This window comes from Homo sapiens, chromosome 9 (assembly GCF_000001405.40).
Source record: "Homo sapiens chromosome 9, GRCh38.p14 Primary Assembly".
NCBI classification, from domain to species: domain Eukaryota; kingdom Metazoa; phylum Chordata; class Mammalia; order Primates; family Hominidae; genus Homo; species Homo sapiens.
This window is the reverse complement of record NC_000009.12, coordinates 32,338,411-32,360,122: the sequence shown is the minus strand read 5'-3', so window position 1 is coordinate 32,360,122 and position 21,712 is coordinate 32,338,411. Positions and strand designations below refer to the sequence as shown.

The 21,712-nt window shown below is 40.2% G+C and overlaps 1 long non-coding RNA gene across 3 annotated transcripts in view, besides 1 other annotated feature; it reads left to right on the top strand.

The window, feature by feature from the left end:
- The first annotated feature begins 8,098 nt into the window (after positions 1–8,098).
- Positions 8,099–21,712, top strand: part of LOC107987059 (uncharacterized) — a 69,745-nt gene continuing 56,131 nt past the window's right edge. For 2 of the 3 annotated variants that reach the window (XR_001746645.2, XR_007061447.1), the window contains exon 1: positions 8,099–8,291. This is a non-coding gene — a long non-coding RNA (uncharacterized LOC107987059). Of the gene's footprint in view, positions 8,292–18,789; positions 19,434–21,712 lie in introns of those variants that run through there. The other variant, XR_007061446.1, reaches the window with a different exon arrangement.
- Positions 15,318–15,612: an enhancer, noted in NCBI's record as "tiled region #8424; HepG2 Activating non-DNase unmatched - State 24:Quies, and K562 Activating non-DNase unmatched - State 24:Quies". NCBI's record gives its function as "activates a minimal TATA promoter and a strong SV40 promoter by Sharpr-MPRA in HepG2 and K562 cells {active_cell/tissue: HepG2 | K562}" and the evidence as "EXISTENCE:reporter gene assay evidence [ECO:0000049][PMID:27701403]".

Sequence of the window (21,712 nt, the reverse complement as noted above, 5' to 3'; positions counted from 1 at the left end):
ACATTCTCTATTGAGTTTAGAAATGTTTGATTGAAATCTGTAAAGGTTAAGTCATCATATTAATAGCAGTGCTATTAACAATCACAAAATTAATGGGAATAATAATGAGCCCTGGTGTGTAAAATGCCATAGTTAGCATAAACACCATAATGCCTCTGTGTATGACATTTTTGTATTGCCACAGGGAAAAGTTCAGTGAGCTAGTTCCCCAAGTACAGCCAATACATTATTACTGCAAATAAACTGCTCATTATCTAAGATGTTTTGCAACTTTTGGAGAAGCAAAATGAGGCATTCCTGAAGGAAATATTTGTTGTTGTGTTGTAAAATATAAAAGTGATTTTTAAAGAGGTGAAATTAAGAACAGTTCTATACATCACATTCATTATCATTTTAAAGTAAAACATGTTCACTGCAAAAACTTTGAAAATACACACGTGCACACATACATATCCACCACTGAAAACTACCCATAGTCCTACCACCCACGGGTGATGTATCACTGTATAAATTTAGTTCTATCAGTCTCTGTCCTAACTCGGTAAGTGGGGAACACACAGTTGGTAGTTTCATATGTTGCATTTTCAAAATATAACATCAAAAACTTTTCTCAGGTCACCGAAAGTTAATTAAAAACATGATTTTAGTATTATTGCATTGTCTTTATTTAACCACTGATAGCCCCTGGTTTTTAGCTACTCAAATTGCCCTCCAGAAAACTTTTATCAGTTTAAATTTTCACCAGCTGGGACAGAGTAGCTGTCTTTCAGAATCCTTCACAACTCTGGATATTATTATTGGTTTTTTGTTAACTTGATGGGATAAATCGATAATTGATACTCATTAAATATTTATATTTTTTGAATACGAATTTGTAAATAAAATTATAAGACTCAAATATGCTTGATGTAGCCATAATTGAAATTATAGTTGAAATCAGACAAATGAAAACGTGCACATACAAACATTTGTACATGAATGTTAATACCAGCATTATTTATAATGGCCAAAAAGTATAAACAACTCAAATTCCCACTAACAGATGAATGGATAAATGTGGCATATCCATATAATGAATATTTTTTGGCAATAAAAAGGAATAAAGTACTGCTACATGCTATACCATGAATGCACCTTGAAAACATCATGTTAAGTGAAACAAGCCAGTCACAAAGGACTATATATTTTGTGATTCCATTTATGAAATATCCAGAACAGTTAAGTCCTGGACAAAATATTAGCCAATTTAATCTATCAATATAGGACAGTATATAATGAACAAAGAGGTTTATCTCAGGAAAGCAAGGCCAACTCAACAATTGAAAAATCAACCAGCATTTCACTATATCAACAGACTAACAAAGACAAACTATAGGCTAGGCACGGTGGCTCACACCTGTAATTCCAACACTTTGGGAGGCTAGGGAGGGCAGATTGCTTGAGCCCAAGAGTTTGAGACCAGCCTGGGCAATATGTATCTCTACAACAAACCACAAATTAGTCAGGTGTGGTGGTGTGTGCCTGTAGCCCCAACTACTTGGGAGGCTGAGGTGGGAGGATTGCTTGAGCCCCAGAGGTCAAGGCTGCATTGAGCCCTGATCGTACCACCACACTCCACCTGGGTGGCAGAGTGAGACTCTCTCTAAAAAAAAAAAAAAAAAAAAAAAAAAAGAAAAACTAATTACTTCAATAAATGCAGAAAAAGAATCTGACAAAACTCAACATCCATTCTAATAAAAAGCTTTAGCAAACTAGGAACAGCAGGAAACATCCTCAGTCTGAAAAAGGGCTTCTACAATAAACTTATGGCTAATAACAAACTTAATGATGAAAGACTGAAACTAGGCAAGGATATCCACTGTCATCACTCCTATTCAACTTTCTTCTAGGTCCAACACAGTAAAATAAGCCAGGAAAAAGGACAAAAATTGGAAAGAAATAAATAAAACTGTATTCTCTTTGCACATGACATAAACAATAATGCAAAAAATCTCTAAGAATTTACAAAAAGGTTAGTGGAACTAACAACTAAATTAAGCAGGGTTGCAGGATGCAAAGTTCACGTATAAAATTAAATTGGGCTGGGTGCAGTGGCTCTTGCCTGTAATCCCAGCACTTTTAGAGGCCAAGGCTGGCAGATCACTTGAGGCCAGGAGTTAGAGACCAGCCTGGCCAACATGGCAAAACCCTGTCTCTACTAAAAATACAAAAATTAGCTGGGGGTGGTGGCACGTGCCTGTAATCCCAGCTACTAGGGAGGCTGAGGCAGGAGTATTGCTTGAACTCAAGAGGCAGAGGTTGCAGTGATCCAAGATCGCATGACCGCACTCCAGCCTAGGCAACAGAGCAAGACTCCATCTCAATATATAAAATTGCATTTTTATATATTCAATGAACAATTGGAAATTGAAATTAAAGACCAGTATGATTTACAAAATTACACAATACTTAAGGTAAATCTCAAAAAGTGTGGTATTTATATGCTGAAAACTGTAAAACAGTAATGAAAGAAATCAAAAAAGAGATAAATAATGGAGATGTTTATTTATTTATTGAGGGAGAGTGTTATGAATTTGAAGTCTCAACATTGTCAATTCTTTCCAATTTGAACTGTAGAATCAATGCAATTTCAATCAAAATCCTAGGAAAATTTTTTGTAGAAACTGACAACTGGTTCTAAAATTTATATGGAAAGGCAAATGAAATAGAATAGCTATAACAATTTTGAAAAAGAACCAAGCTGAAGCATTCATTCTGCCTGATATCAAAACTTACTGATATGGTTTGGTTCTGTCCCCACCCAAATCTCATCTTGAATTGTAGCTCATATAATTCCCATGTGTTGTGGGAGGGACCTGGTGGGAGATAATTGAGTCATAGGGTGGGTCTTTCCCATGCAGTTCTCGTGATGGTAAGTCTCATGAGATCTGACGGTTTTATAAAGGGGAGTTTCCTGCAAACGCTTTCTTGCTTGTCGCCATGTGAGATGTGCCTTTACTCCTCCTTCACCTTCCACCATTGTGAGGCTTCCCCAGCCATGTGGAACTGTGAGTGAATTAAACATCTTTCCTTTATAAATTACCCAGTCTCAGGTATGTCTTTATTAGCAGCGTGAGAACAGACTAATACACTTACTGTAAAACTATATTAAGACAGTGTGGTATTGGCAAAAGAAAAGACACGTAGATCAATGCAAGAGAACAGACAGCATGGAAATAGACATGTATATAAATAGTCAATTGATTTTCATCAAAGGTACAATTGGAATTCAGTGGAAAAAAAGGAACGACTAGATATCCATATATAAGAAAATCAGCTTTGACCCATACCTCGCAACACAGTAAAATATTAACTCAAAATAGATCATATCCCTAAGTCTAAAATAAAAAACTACAAGACATCTAGAAGAAGACATGGGAGAAAATATGTTGGGTATATAATTCTTAGATTCAACTAAAAGCATAAATCATAAAAGAAAAAAATTGATAAATTGAATTTCATCAAAAGTAAAACTTTTACTCAGTTATAAAAATAAAATGGCAAGCCACAGATTATGAGAAAATATTTGCAAAACTTATATCTGACAAGGGACTTGTATCTAGAATAGATTAAGAACTCTTTCAACTCAATAATGAGACAAATGACTCAATTAAAAAATGGGCAGATTTGAATACACTTTTCACTAAAGAAGATAGACAGATGACAAATAATTACATAAGAAAATATATGAGACAAATAATCACATGACAACATTATTAATCATTGGGAAAATGCAAATTAAAATTCTGAGTATCACAACACAGTCACTAGAATGGCTGATATTTAACAAACTAACCATACCATGTTTTGGTGAGCATGAGGTAGAAGTGGTTTATGATACACCCCTGGTGGGAATGCATAAAGGTACAGCACTTGGGAAAACTGGCACCTCTTAAATATACAGCCATACAACCCAGCCATTCCACTTCTAGGTATTTACCTAACAGAAATGAAAGCATATGTGCATAAAAAGCTTGTACATGAATGTTCATAGCAGCTTTATTTGTAATATCCAAAAGCTGTAAAAAACCCAAGTGCCCATTAATAGATGAATGGATTGAGAATTGTGATATGGCCATGCAATGGAATAGTACTTGGCAATGAAAAGGAATGAACTATTCATACATGCAACAACATGGATGGATTTCAAAATAATTATGCAGAGTGAAAAAAGTTAGACTAAAAATGAATACCTACTGTATGATATCATTTATACAGAATTCTGGGAAATGCAAACAAAGCTGTAGTTAACAGATCAGTGGCTGTCTTGGTAATTGGGGGACAAGAGTGTGACAGAAGGATAGATTACAAGGGCACATGAGGAAACTTTTAGGGTGATGGATACTCCCATTACCTCATTACCTTTGTTGTGATGACGCTTTCACGGGTATGTGCACTTTTTTTTTTTTTTTGAGACAGAGTCTCACTCTGCCACCCAGCCTGGAGTGCAGTGGTGCAATCTCAGCTACTGTAACCTTTGCCTCCTGGGTTCAAGTGATTCTCCTGTCTCAGCCTCCTGAGTAGCTGGAATTACAGGTGCACACCACCAAGCCCGTTTAATTTTTGTATTTTTAGTAGAGATGGGTTCACTATGTTGGCCAGGCTGGTCTCGAACTCCTGGCCTCAAGTGATACACCTGACTCAGCCTCCCAAACTGTTAGGATTACAGGCGTGAGCAATCACGCCCAGCCACATGCTGAAACTCATACAATTATAGTTTCAATGTATACGGCATATTGTGCATTAATTGTCATCCAATACAACTGTTAAAAACAGAGTCCCAAAATATTTTTTAGTATTTATGAAGCAAAAAATTATTTTTACAGGCTTATTAGTCATTAAGATTTCTTCTTATGTAAAATTTCTGATGACTTTTTAAGTGGACAGCTGCAGCACTACAGCCCCTTTCTAAGATATCCCTGAAGGACAGCAGTGAAGGGAAATCCTCCCAGTGGGTGGAACTTGAGCAGTGCACTTGGTTGTGCACTTTTCATGGAAGGAGAAATGGCCAGATGTGCGATTATATACTGATTCATGGGCTGTAGCCAATGGTTTGTCTGGATGGTCAGGGACTTGGAAGAAGCATGATTGGAAAATTGGTGACAACGAAATTTGGGGAAGAGGTATGTGGATGGACCTCTCTGAGTGGTCAAAAACCATGAAGATATTTGTATTCCATGTGAGTGCTCACCAGCGGGTGACCTCAGCAGAGGAGGAGTTTAATAATCAAGTGGATAGGATGACCCATTCTGTGGACACCACTCAGCCTCTTTCCCCAGTCACCTCTGTCATCGCCCAATGGGCCCATGAGCAAAGTGGCCATGGTGGTAGGGATGGAGGTTACACATGAGCTCAGCAACATGGAATTCGACTCACTAAGGCTGACCTGGCTACAGCCACTCCTGAGGGCCCAATTTGCCAGCCATGGAGATCAACACTGAGCCCTCGATATGACACCATTCCTCAGGGTGATCAGCCAGCTACCTGGTGGCAGGTTGATTATGTTAGACCTCTTCTATCATGGAAAGGGCAGAGGTTTGTCCTCAGTGGAATAGACACTTACTCCAGATATGGGTTTGCCTATCCTGCATGCAATGCTTCTGCCAAGACTACCACCTGTGGACTTATGGAATGCCTTATCCACCATCATGGTATTGCACACAGCATTGTCTCTCACCAAGGCACTCACTTTAAGGCTAAAGAAGTGTGGCAGTGGGCTCATGCTTATGGAATTCACTGGTCTTACCATGTTCTCCATCATCTTGAAGCAGCTGGATTGATAGAATGGTGGAATGGCCTTTTGAAGTCACAATTACAATGCCAACTAGGTGACAATACTTTGCAGGGTGGGGGCAAAGTTCTCCAGAAGGCCATGTATGCTCTGAATTGGAGTCCAATATATGGTATTGTTTCTCCCATAGCCAGGTTTCATGGGTCCAGGAATCAAGGGGTGGAAGTGGAAGTGGAATTGGCACCACTCACTGTCACCCCCAGTGATCCACTAGCAAAAATTTTGCTTCCTGTTCCCATGGCATTATGTTCTGCAGGCCTAGAAGTCTTAGTTCAAGAGGGAGGAACACTGCCACCAGGAGACACAACAACGATTCAATTAAACTGGAAGTTAAGATTGCCACCTGGACACTTGGGGCACCTCCTAAGTCAACAGGCTAAGAAGGGAGTTATAGTGTTGGCTGGGGTGATTGACCTGGACCATCAAGATGAAATCAGTCTACTACTCCACAACGGAGGTAAGAAAGTATGCATGGAATACAGGAGATCCATTAGGACGTCTCTTAGTATTACTATGCCCTGTGATTAAGGTCATTGGGAAATTACATCAGCCCAATCCAGCCAGGACTACAAATGGCTCAGACCCTTCAGGAATTAAGGTTTGGGTCACTCCACCAGGAAAAAAAACCACAACCTGCTGATGCTGAGGTGGTTGCTGAAGGCAAAGGGAATACAGAATGAGTAGTAGAAGAAGGTAGTCATCAATACCAGTTACGACCACATGACCAGCTGCAGAAATGGGGACTGTAATTGTCATGAGTATTTCCTCCTTCTTTTGCTAAAAACATGTTTGTGCATGTATACACTTGTACTAAGAAAATATCTGTATTTCCTTTTCCTTTATATGTGACATAAGATTTATTGACTTCATATCAGCATTTAAATATTGCTAACTTTATGTAATAGTATTTGGTTTGGGGATTGGTGCATTTCTGGTTGTATGAAGGATAGTTGTATTACGTTAGGTGTAATTATAACCTTATTATTATCTTTATTTGAAGATTATGTATGATCTCAGGAGAAGTGTATGGGTTCAAGTTGACAAGGGGTGGACTTATGATGGTTAATACTGAGTGTCAACTTGATTGGATTGAAGGATACAAAGTATTGATCCTGGGTATGTCTGTGAGGGTGTTGACAAAAGAGATTAACATTTTAGTCAGTGCACTGGGGAAGGCAGATCCACTTTTAATCTGGTAGGCACAATCTAATCAGCTGCCAGTGAATCTAAAGCAGGCAGAAAAACATGAAAACGCGAGACTGGCCTAGCCTCCCGGCCTACATCTTTCTCCTGTACTGTATGCTTCCTGCCCTCAAATATCAGACTCCAAGTTCTTCAGTTTTGAGACTCAGACTGGCTCTCCCTGCTCCTCAAGCTTGCAGACAGCCTATTGTGGGGACCTTGTGATCATGTAAGTTAATACTAATATATATATTATTATATATTTTATATATTCTAATATATATATTATATATTATATTATATATATTATATATTATATATATAATAATAGATATAATATTATATAATATGTACATATAAAACTAGAGGGGGCTGGAGTTTGGCATTTCCTTTCCCCAAGTAGATTAAGGTGCTGATAGACCCATAGCAGGTCAGGCTGTGGTATAATAGTTTCTTCTGAAGGCAGGCTTTGCTAAGAACAGATGCTCTGGTCTATTTCAAGTGGTGACTTTCCCCCTCCTCCTGCAGGAAGCAAGAGGAAATTTTTCTCCCATATTTACTGTGAGGATCTGGCAAGGCTCTTGGAGGTAAAACCCATAAAAATATGTGACACCCCTTGACTGGTTTCCACTGAATTTTTTAACTCTCAGACTTGCCCAAACTGAGCCTCCCACAGTTCATCAATTCCAGTTCAGGTTTCCTGCCCTGTCACTGCTTCCCATGGAGGCTGCAGCTGGCAGGTTTCTGCTCTAGTGACATGTGATTCTCTGTATCTTCCTGCCTGTCCCTCCAATTTTTGGGGCAATGGTCGGCCCTGTGACTTCATTTCTCTGACAGACCTAAGAAGAGTTGCTAGCTTTTTTACTCTTTAGGAGACAGTGGTGACTTCTAAGCTTCCTTCCTTGCAAGACCCAAAACCAGACTCCAGGAACTTTTTACTGGTCCGTTCAGTGAAAAGCTGTTATTGCTCAGCTCCAAGGCAGTCCTTCTACCCTCTGCCTTGTGTTGCAGTGGCTGGGACTCAGCGCTCTTCATTTCTGCTTCGCTGGCTGCTCCTTGCAAGTCTCCCCCAGTGGGGGCACTAGAGGGAGACTGGGAGACTGGAGGAGGAAGAGGGGACCTGCTTCTTAAAATTTGCTTCCTCTTCCTGTTGGAAGCTTCATAGTCTTCATCAAGATCCTTATTATTTCTTGCTATTTGTGAACCTCCCTGCTTTCAAGTCCTCTTCAATTGTTTCTTCAGGCCAGACATTCCATATGAGAAGGACTGAGAGTTCAAGGTACTTATGGGGAAGTATGACAAAGCCTTTTCTTCTTTTTACAACTACAATTACTATTAAAAATCTGCCATTTATTGTCTACAAAGTGCTAGGTATTTTAAAAAATATTACCTTATTTAATCCTCACCACAATCCTACAAAAGAATTACTGTTATTTTCATTTACATATGAAGTCATGAAGGTAAAGGTAACTTGAGTTGGGTTTTAAGTGCAGGTCAGGGTAATAACACAAGAGGTGTACATATTAGTGAATTTACTATGGATGTGTAAAGTCATACAGAAATTGGAACATCATGGGGATTTTGAAGACATTTTATGGTTTCAAAGATTTCAAGGATGATGTGTTTTGTTTAAGAGAAGGTAGGATTACCTTGTCAGAGGAAGAGAATTAGTTCCTCGAAGGTAGGGATTTGTTGTTGGGTGAGGAATGGCAAGACTGGTTCAGTCTCAATTTTCAGTATTAGTCGAATACATACTTATAAAATTGACTGGCCCTTTGTATACTCATATGTTTTGTTACTTGTAAGCTATTCCAAAGTGAGGATTGAAATGTTGGTGTTTCTAATACTTCACTCAGCCCTTAAACATGATTTAAAATGATTATCATATTCTAAGCTGTTTTAGATTAAATCTTTGCACAATATGGCTTCATACTTTATATCTTATTTTGGAAAATTTGGCCTGGCTTCCCTTGGGAGGTGGAGATGGTGATCCAGGAAGCTTCTGGAAACTTCCTGGTGATATGCATGAATTTAATATCTATAAGTTTATTAAATCCTGAAGGCAAAGGGATTAATGCAAGGGAGATATATTTAATTATTACAGTGGAAACTTTTTGAGAGGCTTAATGGGGGAAAAACTTCTCCATAGACTAACAAGAAAACATTTGATTTCAAGAGATTTATTATTTGCAATATTAAATTGTGCCAATAGATGGAGAAGTTGTTCCACATAAATCAGAAGGCTTGCCTTCTCTTAAGAGGAATAAAGAAATTCAGGTTTCTGGCAAGTTGAAAATGAATTTCCTTAATAAAAATGTGAAGCAGGAAAACTGGGTTACTTATAAATTTTAACAAGACATAATGTTAACAAGGGACAAGAATTTCACTAATTTCAATTAAGTGTACATGAAACTCTTACTGCCTGTACTGTTTTTGAAATTTGGCCATAGCACTTTTAGATAATGTACATTTGTATTTATCTCTGTATTTATACATGGCCTGTACAAAAAGTGTTTTAAATAATGTACAAAACTTTATAAGATAAAAAAGGTAAAACATGCTTAAATTTAAAACAGTAGAGAAAAAAGAATGGGATGAAGTTGGGGTACAAATCTGGCCTGGAGCTTCCCAGCAGTCAATGCAAATAGAGAAACAGGACCAGTTGCATAACCCAATGTCCATAACAGAAAAACAAGCCAGGTGTTAGGAAAGGTACCATATAGTATGAAGACTAGGAATTATATCCTTTAGGAACTTATGAAGGAGATATTGTGTAAGGTGATAAGTAATTTCCTTACATTACACCCAATGATACTTTTCACATGACTGCTTCCTACAGCAGCTGATAGGTAACACCGCAATGCTATTCTGTCAGAAGAGTTTAAGATGGAGGGGGCAGAGTGAGCATTATGCGTCCCAAAACACTTTCTTGGAGTGTAGCTTTCTGATTGTCTAATTTAATTGAAGGATACAATTTAGAACCCATCAATTCTCCATAAATACTATTTTTCTAACTGAGGATTTGATAAAGATGGAAGGTTGCTGTGAAGATTAAATAACATGTTGCATGCAGAACACTTAGCCTGAGCTTTGCAGGTTGTGAAGCCTTGACGAAAGCCGTCCATGACCAGCCTGAACCACCTACTACCCTTGGATGAAGGACACATGATACCTCCTCTGGCTACTCTTGGATATCTGTGTGGTCTCTTACGTACATGGTGTATTTTTCGAGTCATTTAAACTGGGCTCACCTTGCCATCCCCCTCTAGTAGGATTCTCTTCAGCCTCATGTTCACTCCTTCCTCCTGTTCCAGACCTCCACGGCTCCTTTGTCTTGGTGAATTTAGGCTCTCTCTTGTCATCTTTTCTTGCTTAGTCCTTTGCATGCTTTGTTGGGATCCTCACTGTCTCTGATGTTCCAGAGAACATGGCTGCCCTAGACCCTGAAACCCAAACCAGGCTCCCACTGTCTCAACCTTTCTAGAATACTGCTGCCCAGATCGAGTTTCCCTCTCTTTACAAGAAGGAAGGTCTGACCACAGCCATCACATTTTATGGCTTCATTCTTGATCAATTTTCTCTAATTCTAGTGAGTCAGTGACACACGTGTAAATTTCTCACAGCCGCTTCTGGGGCTGGAGGTTTATCTGAGAACATTTCTCCAGCTCTATCCAGCCACCACTTGGTTTATTCACATCCATATTCTTTGCCTTCAAACATGGAATCATTGCAAATTCAGGCTGGAAGTGGCAGAGGTCATTGAGTTCATCTGCCCAACCACACACACAAATGTGCACCTTCCCCACACCCACACCATCTAACCTCCCTTTGTTCTCCATTGCATTGATTGCAAACTCTATCAAAAAGAATGTTGCAGTAATTTTGCATTTTATAGCCTGAGGATATGCTAAGGGTGTATTTTTGCCTATATTTCTGCACACTGGTTGAGAAAATGTGCGCTGAATTCTGTTTTGTTTCCATTAACCTTTCTCTGAGAAATTACTGACCCCGAATATTGGAGCCGCAAATGGATTCTCTTAAGAAGTATCCTGTCAGGATGCAACCTCTGTGTATTATGTGGCTTTTAGTCAGCAAATGCTTCCTCTGAATGCATCGACTCCCTTAAGAAGTATTCATTTGAGTGACTTTCTCTGTATAAGGATTTTTAGAAATATTTTTATCTCTGCTGTCTTAGGAAACCTACATTCAGAAGAATTTATAGTTCACCTATTTCTATAGCTGGCAATAGCTATATAAAAACTTTGCTTGTGATTTTTACTCCTACCTGCTTGAGATTTTCCCAAATCAATTATTTTTCTGATTTCTCCATAGACTCTGTCTTAACCCTGTGCACCCAGTCTTAGGTGAGGTATTTGTATCCTGACATATTTTGCACTTTTCTATCATCCTTGAGAAAATCATGCAAAATTCTTTCCTAGCTCAGTGCAAAGCAGAGTTGTGCCACTATCATTTAGCCTCAACTTAGAGACTGTATGTTGAGATAAAGCAACAACACGATTTTGATCTTATATTATTCAAATGGGACCCGCATGGCCCATTGCAACACTGTCCTGCCCAAAGTTACCATCAGAAAACAGGCCAGGATTGGATATACTTCTAGAGAGCAAATTCCGTGGGTAGCCACAACACGTAATCTTGGATCATTCATCATTTTCCGGCGATGCTGCCAACAACTCAGAACCCTAAAGCAGCAAGCATGTGAAGACTGGTCTCATGGGGGCTTTTCAGTCCTCCCTTCTCTTCTCTTCTTTATTTTCTATTGTGGCAATTTTTTTTTAAAGACCCATTATAAACAGTGCTTTGTTTCTATCCGTGAATACATTTGGAAAATCTTTGGAATCCTGGGCCTACATTTTTTATGTGTGTGCATATGCATGAATGTGTGTTTGTGTGTGTGAGCATTTCTGTGTGAAAATTGGGGGCCAGGGGAGAGACAGCTGAAGTTGGAGACACTGACAATATAATCACACTGAAAAGCAAGTGCTCCCTAAAGTCTTGCTGGAGAGTCAGCCCAGAAAGCAAAAGGAATTGCATTTCAGACCACCCCATCTCACTCTCTAAAATGCTGGCAATGCCCTCAGTTCTAAACCTCAGTTATTTATTTATTTGCTTATTTTGAGATGGAGTTTTGCTGTTTGTGCCCAGGCTGGAGTGCAATGGCATGATCTCGGCTCACTGCAACCTCTGCTTCCTGGCAAAACCTCAGTTATTGGTGACAAGTGAAATAAGGCAGCCTGGTTTCTAGGCATAGCAGATTGGCCTGCAGTGAAATGTCTTAGGAGTATCTTGATCTTTGTCAGAAAGCTAAGCAGAGCTGACTCCAGATGGTACCTGTAGAATAACTGTAATGTTTTTGCACATATTACTTGTATTTGCATTTGTGGGGTATAATCCAAGTTGTGAAGCAACAAGCTAACAGAGGGGCTCTAGGAAAGGCGTTTTAACCCAACAATATCACATTGGTTTTGGCAGCATTGGGAACAGATGAGAGCTGGAAGTCATCAAGGAAGGATGCAGATTGAAAGTCAGGGAGATGACTTTCACCTGGCCAAGGGAATGCGTGATTAGGTATGGCAATAGCTGGCAGTTTCTTCCAGATGGGATAATTTTCTATCATCCTTCATTATATGGAGTAGAGATTTGTCAGTTAATGGTGTCATTGGCTCCTCCATATACCAGGAGTGACTTTAAATGAGTATGTTAGACCAAGGGAAAAAGCAGAGGACCTATGACAGCAGGGTGATGTCTACAGAAAATGAAGCTGAGAAAGCATTCATTGGTTTGCGGGAGGGTGGGGAGGAATAGGGTGAGATGGGAAAGAGGTGCAGTGAACGAAGAGAACCAAAGAAGAAGGGAGAACAAACAGTGTCTCACAAAGAGAAGCAGAAATGAAGATAGAATGAGAAAGACGAGAAATGGGAGAAAAATAATTTCAGACAAGAGACAGAGGGCAGGAAAGAACAAAATTAAACACCTCCAAATAAAGAGATGATACGGTGAATGTGATTTTTTTGTCTTAGCAAGACAAAGATAGTAGTCATGTACCATTACTTAAAAATGATGCATGGTAAGCACCGCATAGAAAACGGTGCTGTGTCTTCCACATTAATAGAAAACTAGTCCAGGCCCAGCACTGGGTGTAGCAGGGTAGCAAAGTGGAGCTGTTTCTGGGAACCCGAAGGCTGCAGTATGGGCACATTTGCTCTGTTCTGAAGAGCTGGTCCTGAGCGCTGCCTGGGGACTGTTTTCACAGGGCCACAGTGAGCCTGGTTTGTGGAGATCTGAGAAGGTTACTCTAGAGCTGTGTTTTTTCTGCTTGGTAGGAGGATGGTGTAGGGGAGAAGGAAAAGAGAAGAAGCAGAAGAGAGGCATCATTTAGCTGATCTTATGTCTTTGTTTCCTCACTTATAATATGGTGAAATCTAATAGTATCTAACTCAGAGAGGTATTGTGAAGAGTAAGAGAGATAATACAGCAAGGTTGCTGGCTCAATAAATGTTAGCTTTATTTTTTTGCACCCACACGTGTTATCTTTAAAAAATGTACAAAATGGCCAGGCACGGTGGCTCATGCCTGTAATCACAGCACTTGGGGAGGCCGAGGCGGGCGGATCACGAGGTCAGGAGATCAAGACCATCCTGGCCAACATGGTGAAACCTCATTTCTCCTAAAAATACACACAAAAAATTAGCCAGGTGTAGTGGCGGGCACCTGTAGTCCCAGCTACCCAGGAGGCTGAAGCAGGAGAATTGCTTGAACCTGGGAGGCAGAGGCTGCAGTGAGCCGAGATCACGCCATTACACTCCAGCCTGGGCGACAGAGCAAGACTCCGTCTCAAAAAAAAAATGTACAAAATATTATTAATATAGTAGTTTTTATTAAGTAAAAATACCAGTTACAAATTCATTCTCATAATCTAAAACACACAACACGCACGCATTGGGAAAGGAGGAATTGCACTAAAATCTTAACAGTGATTACTTTGGGAAAGTGAATCAGCACTACTTTATTTTTTTTCCTATGCTTGTCTGTATTTCGACAGTGAGCATAAGCCAATTTTGTAGTAAGAAACACATTATTCTTTAAAAAGCTGAAAGAGTCAGTCCCAGCAAGGTCTATCTTCTGTCCTCTTTCCCAAACCTCCCAAAATGTAGATGCAACAAGATTCAACATCAGTTATTGTTCTCACCCCTCTGTAAATGTAGATTTATTCTAGGTGGGGGCTTTGATAGTCATCCTACTGGTGCCTTCCTGCCCAGAGAGGAGTGCTTGCATTCTGGGTGAAAGGCCAAAGGAAGTTATTTTATCCTGGTTTGTCACTATGCTTTAAGAAGGCACCTGACGTTTATAACAAAAGACTTTATCTGCTCGTAAGTGTGCTGAATAAAGGAGCCAGAATTTCAGGCACACCTGGATCTGTCATGACTTTACAATATCTGCAATAGGAAGCTTAATTATTTGGATGGCCGTCTTTTTGCATATGGTTTATTAATCTGTGGGCATCGTCGTAAAAATGATGATGCATTTTTTAGCTGAGGCAACCAGAGGCTGGCTTAGTGGAGCAGCTGGTCTAGACTGGAAAGAGTCCCTCTCCAACTGGGTATGCATATGAACCACCTGCGGGTAGCTGGGAGTGCCTGAAAGCAAGCATTTATCAGTGGAGCGGTGCTTTCCCTGGGCTCTGTTTGGAAACAGGAAATGTCATGTTGTGTTTCCATTGCCTCTCTGCTAGAATCCAATGATCAGCATTGTAGGATGTACTGGGATCTGGGTAGTTTCTGGTGGTGATAATGGTTTTAAGGAGCAGGAATGAAGATGGGGTTTGAGAAGGAGGAGGGTAGTGATGGGGTATCCAGTTAGGTTGCCGCAGTCCGGTTGGAAATTGACAGAAACAAAGAAAGAACTTAGATGTCAGTGCCTGTGAATTGCTGTCCATATCAACTTAAGCACTACCTCATATTTTGATCTGCTTTGGCACATTTAGATTTGGGGCAGGGATTTAGCCTTGTCCATGTTGCCAGAGGCTGTGTATGTAATAGAGGCATCACATGCAGTGACAGGTTTGCAGAAAAAGCAACCTTCACTGATACGAGAGATCAAACGAGAGCATTTCCATTGAAAAGTGCAGCACTGGTTTTCTTCCCCTCCACCCCACCGCCCTCAGTGGTAACACTGCTACTCAGAGGCATGTTCAGTGGCTGTCCAAGTGTGGACAATACCTGTGATGCCGATGGATGTTGGACCTAATGTCCCAGGTATCCCGGTTCTTAGGTGGAGAGGCAGCCTGTGGGAGGAAGCTTCCTGAGCAGGGGGCCTCCAGGACTGGGATGCAGAATGCTGACTATTTCCTGAATACAGAGCTTGAATGCAGGCTCCCCAGGTTGTTCCAGCCTTGGGCAAGACTCTGATCCTTTGTCAGAAAGTGAAACTGAAAGCTAAAGCGCAGGGGTTATTCACACCCTTTATTCTTCATTCTTCTGGCTATTGCCAGCTCATCTGAAGGCTTCCAGAAGGCAGAAGGCAGATGAGGGAGGAGAGGAAAGTCGGTGCGTGATTTCCCCTCCTTTTTTGTTAGTGACTCTGTTAAAAGGTATTGTGGTGAAGAAACTAAAAGTAGGAATAAAAAATGTTTAATAATTTGGGGTTTCAAATGATCTTTCTACTTACATTTCTTCTATGACTTATTGCCCTTACCAGTGAACCCCTTTGGATATGTGAGGGACAGGGCCTTTTGCATTGAGTTATATATTTGGTGTGGGAAATTTGAATTAATCTGTTTTCATGTTCAATTAGATTGATGAGCAGTATGGCCACTCAATGTTATTCCATCTTGACTGTTGCTGAGGCCCTTTAAATGTGTCATGAGTTAATTGATTGATAAATCCACATAAAACATTCTGTGTGCCTGCTATGCACCAAACCTGGAGCAGAGATTCAGGTGACCCAGCCAAGTGCAGTTCTGCTTTCATGGAATTTAATCTAATTATAGGGACAGAAAATTAAGCAAACAATTAGGATACAATGTAGTAAGTGCTCTGCTAAGGAAAGTCCCACGTAGAGCACGTAGCAGGGTCCTTGATAGGATCAAGGAAGATATTCTGGAGAAACTGACTTGTGAATCAAGACCTGAAGATAACGTGAAGGTAACAAAGAGAAAGGAGAGACTCGTGTTCCAAGTAGGGGGACCAGCCTGAGCAACACCCCATAATCCCCTTCTACTGTGCATATCTATTTAGAAAGTCATAAGTGACAATGCACTTATGAATTATAAAAATCAAGTTAGAAGATAGTTATTAATAGGTCTCTTATCAAGTAGAACTTCATTTTTCTCCCTCTTACGACGCCTCCCCATTGGACTTTGTGTTGTTGCTACTTGTGTGCATCTCCAGAGGATCTCTGCAGGCTCTGGAAGTCCTTAGTTTTCCTTGCATCTCTCAGGTAGTGGTTTTGCACATGGGCCTGTTGAATGTTGACTCAAAGAATAAACTAATTCAGGGCACATTGGAAATAAAGTCTATGTCCTGAAGCCAACAGGGAAGGCAGCTAATCTTAATGTGTGGTCTTAACCCTTCAGGGCTACCTGGATTGGCCCGTGGCCTAGGTGCAGGTGACCTTTCTGAAGGTTCTGCTTCTTGACGACACTCCTTGCAAATTCTCTCCCTTTTTCCATCAGACTGACTAGGCTTAGCCTGGGCTGAGCACATTGACCTATTCCCTCAAATATCTTTCCTTAGCTACATTCAAGTTGTTCTGATTGCAGGCCCATGCATATCCTTTAGTAAAAGTGAATTTTCATACTCCTCTTTTTCCTCTGTTTTTTGCTAGCTCAACTTACTGGTTTATGCTCAGTTGGCCAGAAGAACGATGGCTGAATCAGCTCTTGATAGTCACCAGGAATTGATATTGCTGTCATTTATGACTTTCTTTCTTCTCTCTTTTCACTGTCTCTTTCTTTCAAGTCCTTATTTCCAGGTTCAACTTGCTTTCCAGTTACAAATCCTGAAAGATTTTTGTTTGTTTGTTTGTTTTTTTGTTTTTGATTTTTTTTTAAGACAGAGTCTTGCTCTGTCAGCAGGCTGGAGCACAGTGGGGCGATCTTGGCTCACTGCAACCTCCGCCTTCCGGGTTCAAGCGATTCTCCTGCCTCAGCCTCCTGAGTAGTTGGGATTACAGGCACGCACCACCATGCTCAGGTACTTTTTGTATTTTTAGTAGAGATGGGGTTTCACCATGTTGGCCAGGATGGTCTCGATCTCCTGACCTCGTGATTCACCCACCTTGGCCTCCCAAAGTGCTGGGAGAAAGAATTGTTTTTAAACACAATTTTTGTTGGGAATGTGATTTCCTCCATAATTATCCCTCCTCATACAAAATGGAATAGAACTCAAAAAGTTTAAAATAACTCCTTTGCTCCTAACCTAATTAGACCTTTTAAACTTCTCTTTATGATTACTAGTCACAGGCAAACTAAGGATGGTATATAGTTACGATTCATTCAACACATTAAAAAATTCCATTTATTTCAACACACTTGAAAGTTTTGTATGCCCAGGCTCTGTGGTAGGTGCTGATGATACAAAGATGAATAAGCAGAACCTCTGCCCTCTGCAGGGGTACACGTGAGTTAAAGATGGTGATGGTGGTGGTGGTGGTGGTGGGGTGGGCTGGGAGTGGGGTGTGTGGATGAGAAGGTCCCAGCATGAAGATTTTTGTGCAGCAGTTCTCCATGACACCAAAAGGGAATAGAGCCTTTATTCAGAAGTTTCTTAGATAATTTAGATAGAAAATAGGACCCAGCCCTTTGGGAGATTATAAACTGTTTCCCAACTTCCTTTTTTGCAAGTGGTTATGAAGCTATTTATATTCTTTCAGATTGGGTTCTCTTTGGGCCCTGGACTGGGTGAGGCTGATGTTAGAGGTTAAACTGGGGTAGGCCTGAGGTATTTGGGGAGACTCACACCTTCCAGGTTTTAGACTGGTTCTCAGTGACTTGAAAGAATTGATATGCCTCCAAAGAGAACACCTGGATAATTTTGCCACTTTCAAGTGGGTTTTCAAAATCCTCAGTCATCTGGGGTCTATCACTTTGGAATTTGTGGTATTTGGGAACAATTTAGGGGAATTTTTATTTTTACATTCTCTGTGACAAAAGGGACTCATACACAGATAATATTGGAAATATATGAAGGATTAATAAACTGTATTTAGCAATTCCAGAAGCATGTACAATTGACATACTAATTAGAAATAATACCTATCTTTTCATGAAGTCAGCTTCTTAACTAGTATTCATGTTATAATATATAATATTACATATTATATATATATGTATACACACACACACACACATATATATATATATAGTTAAAACGTCCTGGTGCCAGCTTTTCACCATGGGGGACTTAGGATAACTTGTGCTGATTTTCAGGCTACAAATCACCTCTGTGTTGTGCAAAGGGACAAATTAACCATGACACAAATCTAATGGGTTGTTTATTTCCAGAAGTAGCAAAAGCTAGAAAACCATGGCAACCAGTGTAGTCAGAGATATGTGAAAGGGTCTTATATTCTTGGCAAAAATGAATTTAAAAAAAAGGTGCAGAAAGTCCTGAAACACTAACAGTTGTAGGCAATTTAACTTTTCCTTTTTCACTCTGGTAGTAGGTTATTTGTTGCTTCCACGGCAACACTTATTTTAAAGTTCTAAGCTCAGTGGCAGAGGCTCAGTCAAAAAGCCCATGGAATGTTTTATAGAGAAGGCTGTGGTAATGATAGTGTATCAAGAAACTACAAAGAACTCAATGGGTACCGTGTGCCTTTAGCCACATTCTTTCCTTATGAAAGTCATCTCTTAAGATCTACATGAACTCCATTAGGCCATGAGAAAAATTACTGCACCAATTCTATTACTGTCAAAAAACTTAGCTGCTTAAAGCTGAGTTTGTGGATGGTGAAATTGCTACTTGGATGTTGTACTGTTTTCAGTTATTTTATAAACCCATTGATGCTTAATCAACCAGAGCAATCTGCACGTATTTGGGCAACAATAATGGTGCAACTTTCTAATTCAAAACAGCTGGAATCATAAAATGTAAAGTATAGAAGCAGCTATTTTGCTGTCTGGTTATTGCTATTGAGACCAGGTGGTTCAATCAAAGGCAGGAGGAAAGGGCTTAGAAGTCTCCTTCTTTTCCAGAATTTCCCAGCTCTAATTCATTTCTGGGATAAGGTGTTTGTTTCCAAAAAGCTCCATTTAAAATGTACCCAAATTCTTGAGCTGAAGTAAACTTACACTTTAAACTATGAGCCACAGAACTCCTGGGCTTCCACCTCTGGAGGAGTGGCCACAGGTCAAAAGGAACACAGAAAGGTGAATGTGGAGGGAAGGTGCAGTGACACAGTAAGTAGTGGTGGGGAAGAGAGCGTTGGGAAAGGATTTTGATGTGAGGGCCAGGCATCCTGGGTGGGTAGGCGTGACTGAGGCAGCTTAGGGCAGCCTGGGAGCCTCAAATACCCTTTGATGGGATCTAAGGGTATTAAAGTGTTAGCTTTCATGGTTTTGTGGAGGACTGACCTGGCTACAGCACTTCATCTGTGGGCCCCATTGAGGTGCGGAAGAAGGAAAGGAGCTGTTCCAGCTGCTATAGCTGACTAAAAAACGTCCTAAAATGCACTGGCTTAGAACAATGACATTTATTTAACTCGTGGATCTACAGGTGGAGCAAGACACAGGTGCTATTGTAACTCATGCAAATGCTGATCAACTGTCACTATAGATTAGTTTGTATTTTCTAGAATCTAAAATAAATGGTATTATACAGTAAGTACTCCTTTTTGTCTGGTTTCTTTTACTCAGTGTAAATATTTTGATATTTATCTATATTGCTGTGTGTATCAAGTGTTCATTCCTGTTTATTGCTGAGTGGTATCCTATTGTATGGATAGACCACAGATTGTTTATTCCCTTGTGGATAGACATTTGGGCTATTGTCAGGTTTTGGCTATTATAAATAGAGCTGCTATAAATAGTTGTACACAAATCTTTGTGTAAACATATATTTTAATTTTAGGAGAGGAATGGCTGGGTTATATGGTAGGTATATGTTTAACTTTTTAAGAAATTTCCAAACGGTTTTCTATGGACTAGTTTGCATTTTCTAGAGTTTTATATAAATGTGATCATCCAGTATGTGCTTTTTCTGTTTGGCTCTTTTTACTCAGCAGAATTGCTTTGAGATTCATCCACGTTGTTGCATATATTAGTAGTTAGTTATTTTATTGCTGAGTAGTATTCTAATGTATTGATACACCACAGTTTATCCATTTACCTGCTGATGGACCTTTGGCATGCTTCCTGTTTTTGGCTACTACAAGTGAAACTACTATGAACACTTGTGTGCAGGTTTTTGTACGGACACATATTTCCTGTTCTGTGTGCAGCTGAATCATCTATGGAAAAGGTGAATTCTTCTGCTTTAAACATCAGGACTCCATCTGCCAGGTGCTGCCACTATTTCTGTCAGCAGCAGGCTGTTAATGATGATCTTTGTGTTAGGGCTCTCTAGAGACACAGAATATGGGTATACATAGATAGAGATATAGATAGACAGACACATGACGGGATTTGTTAAGGGAACTTGCTTATGTAATTTTGGAGGCTGAGAAGTCCCACAATAAGCTATCTGCAAGCTGGAGAACCAGGGAAGCTGGTGGTGTAACTCTCAGTCTGAGGCCAAAGGCCTGAGTACGCAGGGGTCCTGTGGTACGAACCCCAGAGGCCAACAGCCAGAGACCCTGGAGTTCTGATGTTCAAGGACAGGGTACAGAGAGAGGGAGAAAGCGAGGGAGAGGGAGAAAGAGAGACAGAGAGAGAGAGAGAGACAAAGAAAGAGAGAGAGGGAGAAAGGGGGAGACAGAGAGAGATAGAGAGAGAGAGGGAGAAAGAGAGAGAGCAGGCAAATTCACCTTTCCTCTTCCTGTTTGTTCTATCTGGGGCCCCAGCTAATTGGATGGTGCTGCTCACACTGAGGGCCAATCTCCACTCAGCCAGTATCCCTCAGGAACACCCTCATGGGCATGCCTGGAAATAATGTTTCATTGGCTATCTAGGCATCCTTTAATTCAGCCAAGTTGACGCCTGTTAATAAAATAACCATCATGACCTTCCAAGCGTTTTGTAGGCTTAGCTCTAATAATTAGAATAAAATTTTGTAGATGGAGTGAGGTAGGGTCCACTTTCTTCTTTTGCCTGTGACTGGCTATCCAGTTGTCCCTGTACCATTTGTTGAAAATAATATTCTTTTAAAAATATATTTCATGAACTAATTATGTATACTCTGTTTACTTTTATGTGGTGCTGAAGTCTCTGCTTGATTAGCTTAGTGGCCAGCTGTAGGACTGAATGAAGATTTTCTTAAATTCTGTGACCAATCAATCTTCCACCCTTCTGTATATGCTTTGGGGCACACTTTCAGTGCTTAGCAGTTTGCAACCCTACCTTAGCTTTCACTGCCTGCTTGCTCAGAGCCTCCCACTCAGCCAGAGGTGGAAGGTTAGGGTCTTCTCAGGTATTTCCTGGGAATGTGCCCGGCCCTGCCTATGTGTGTAGCCTTCTAGATCCCCAGGAATATCTTGTAGCTTTTAAAAGCTCCTTATAGACATTTTATTACCAGATTTTTG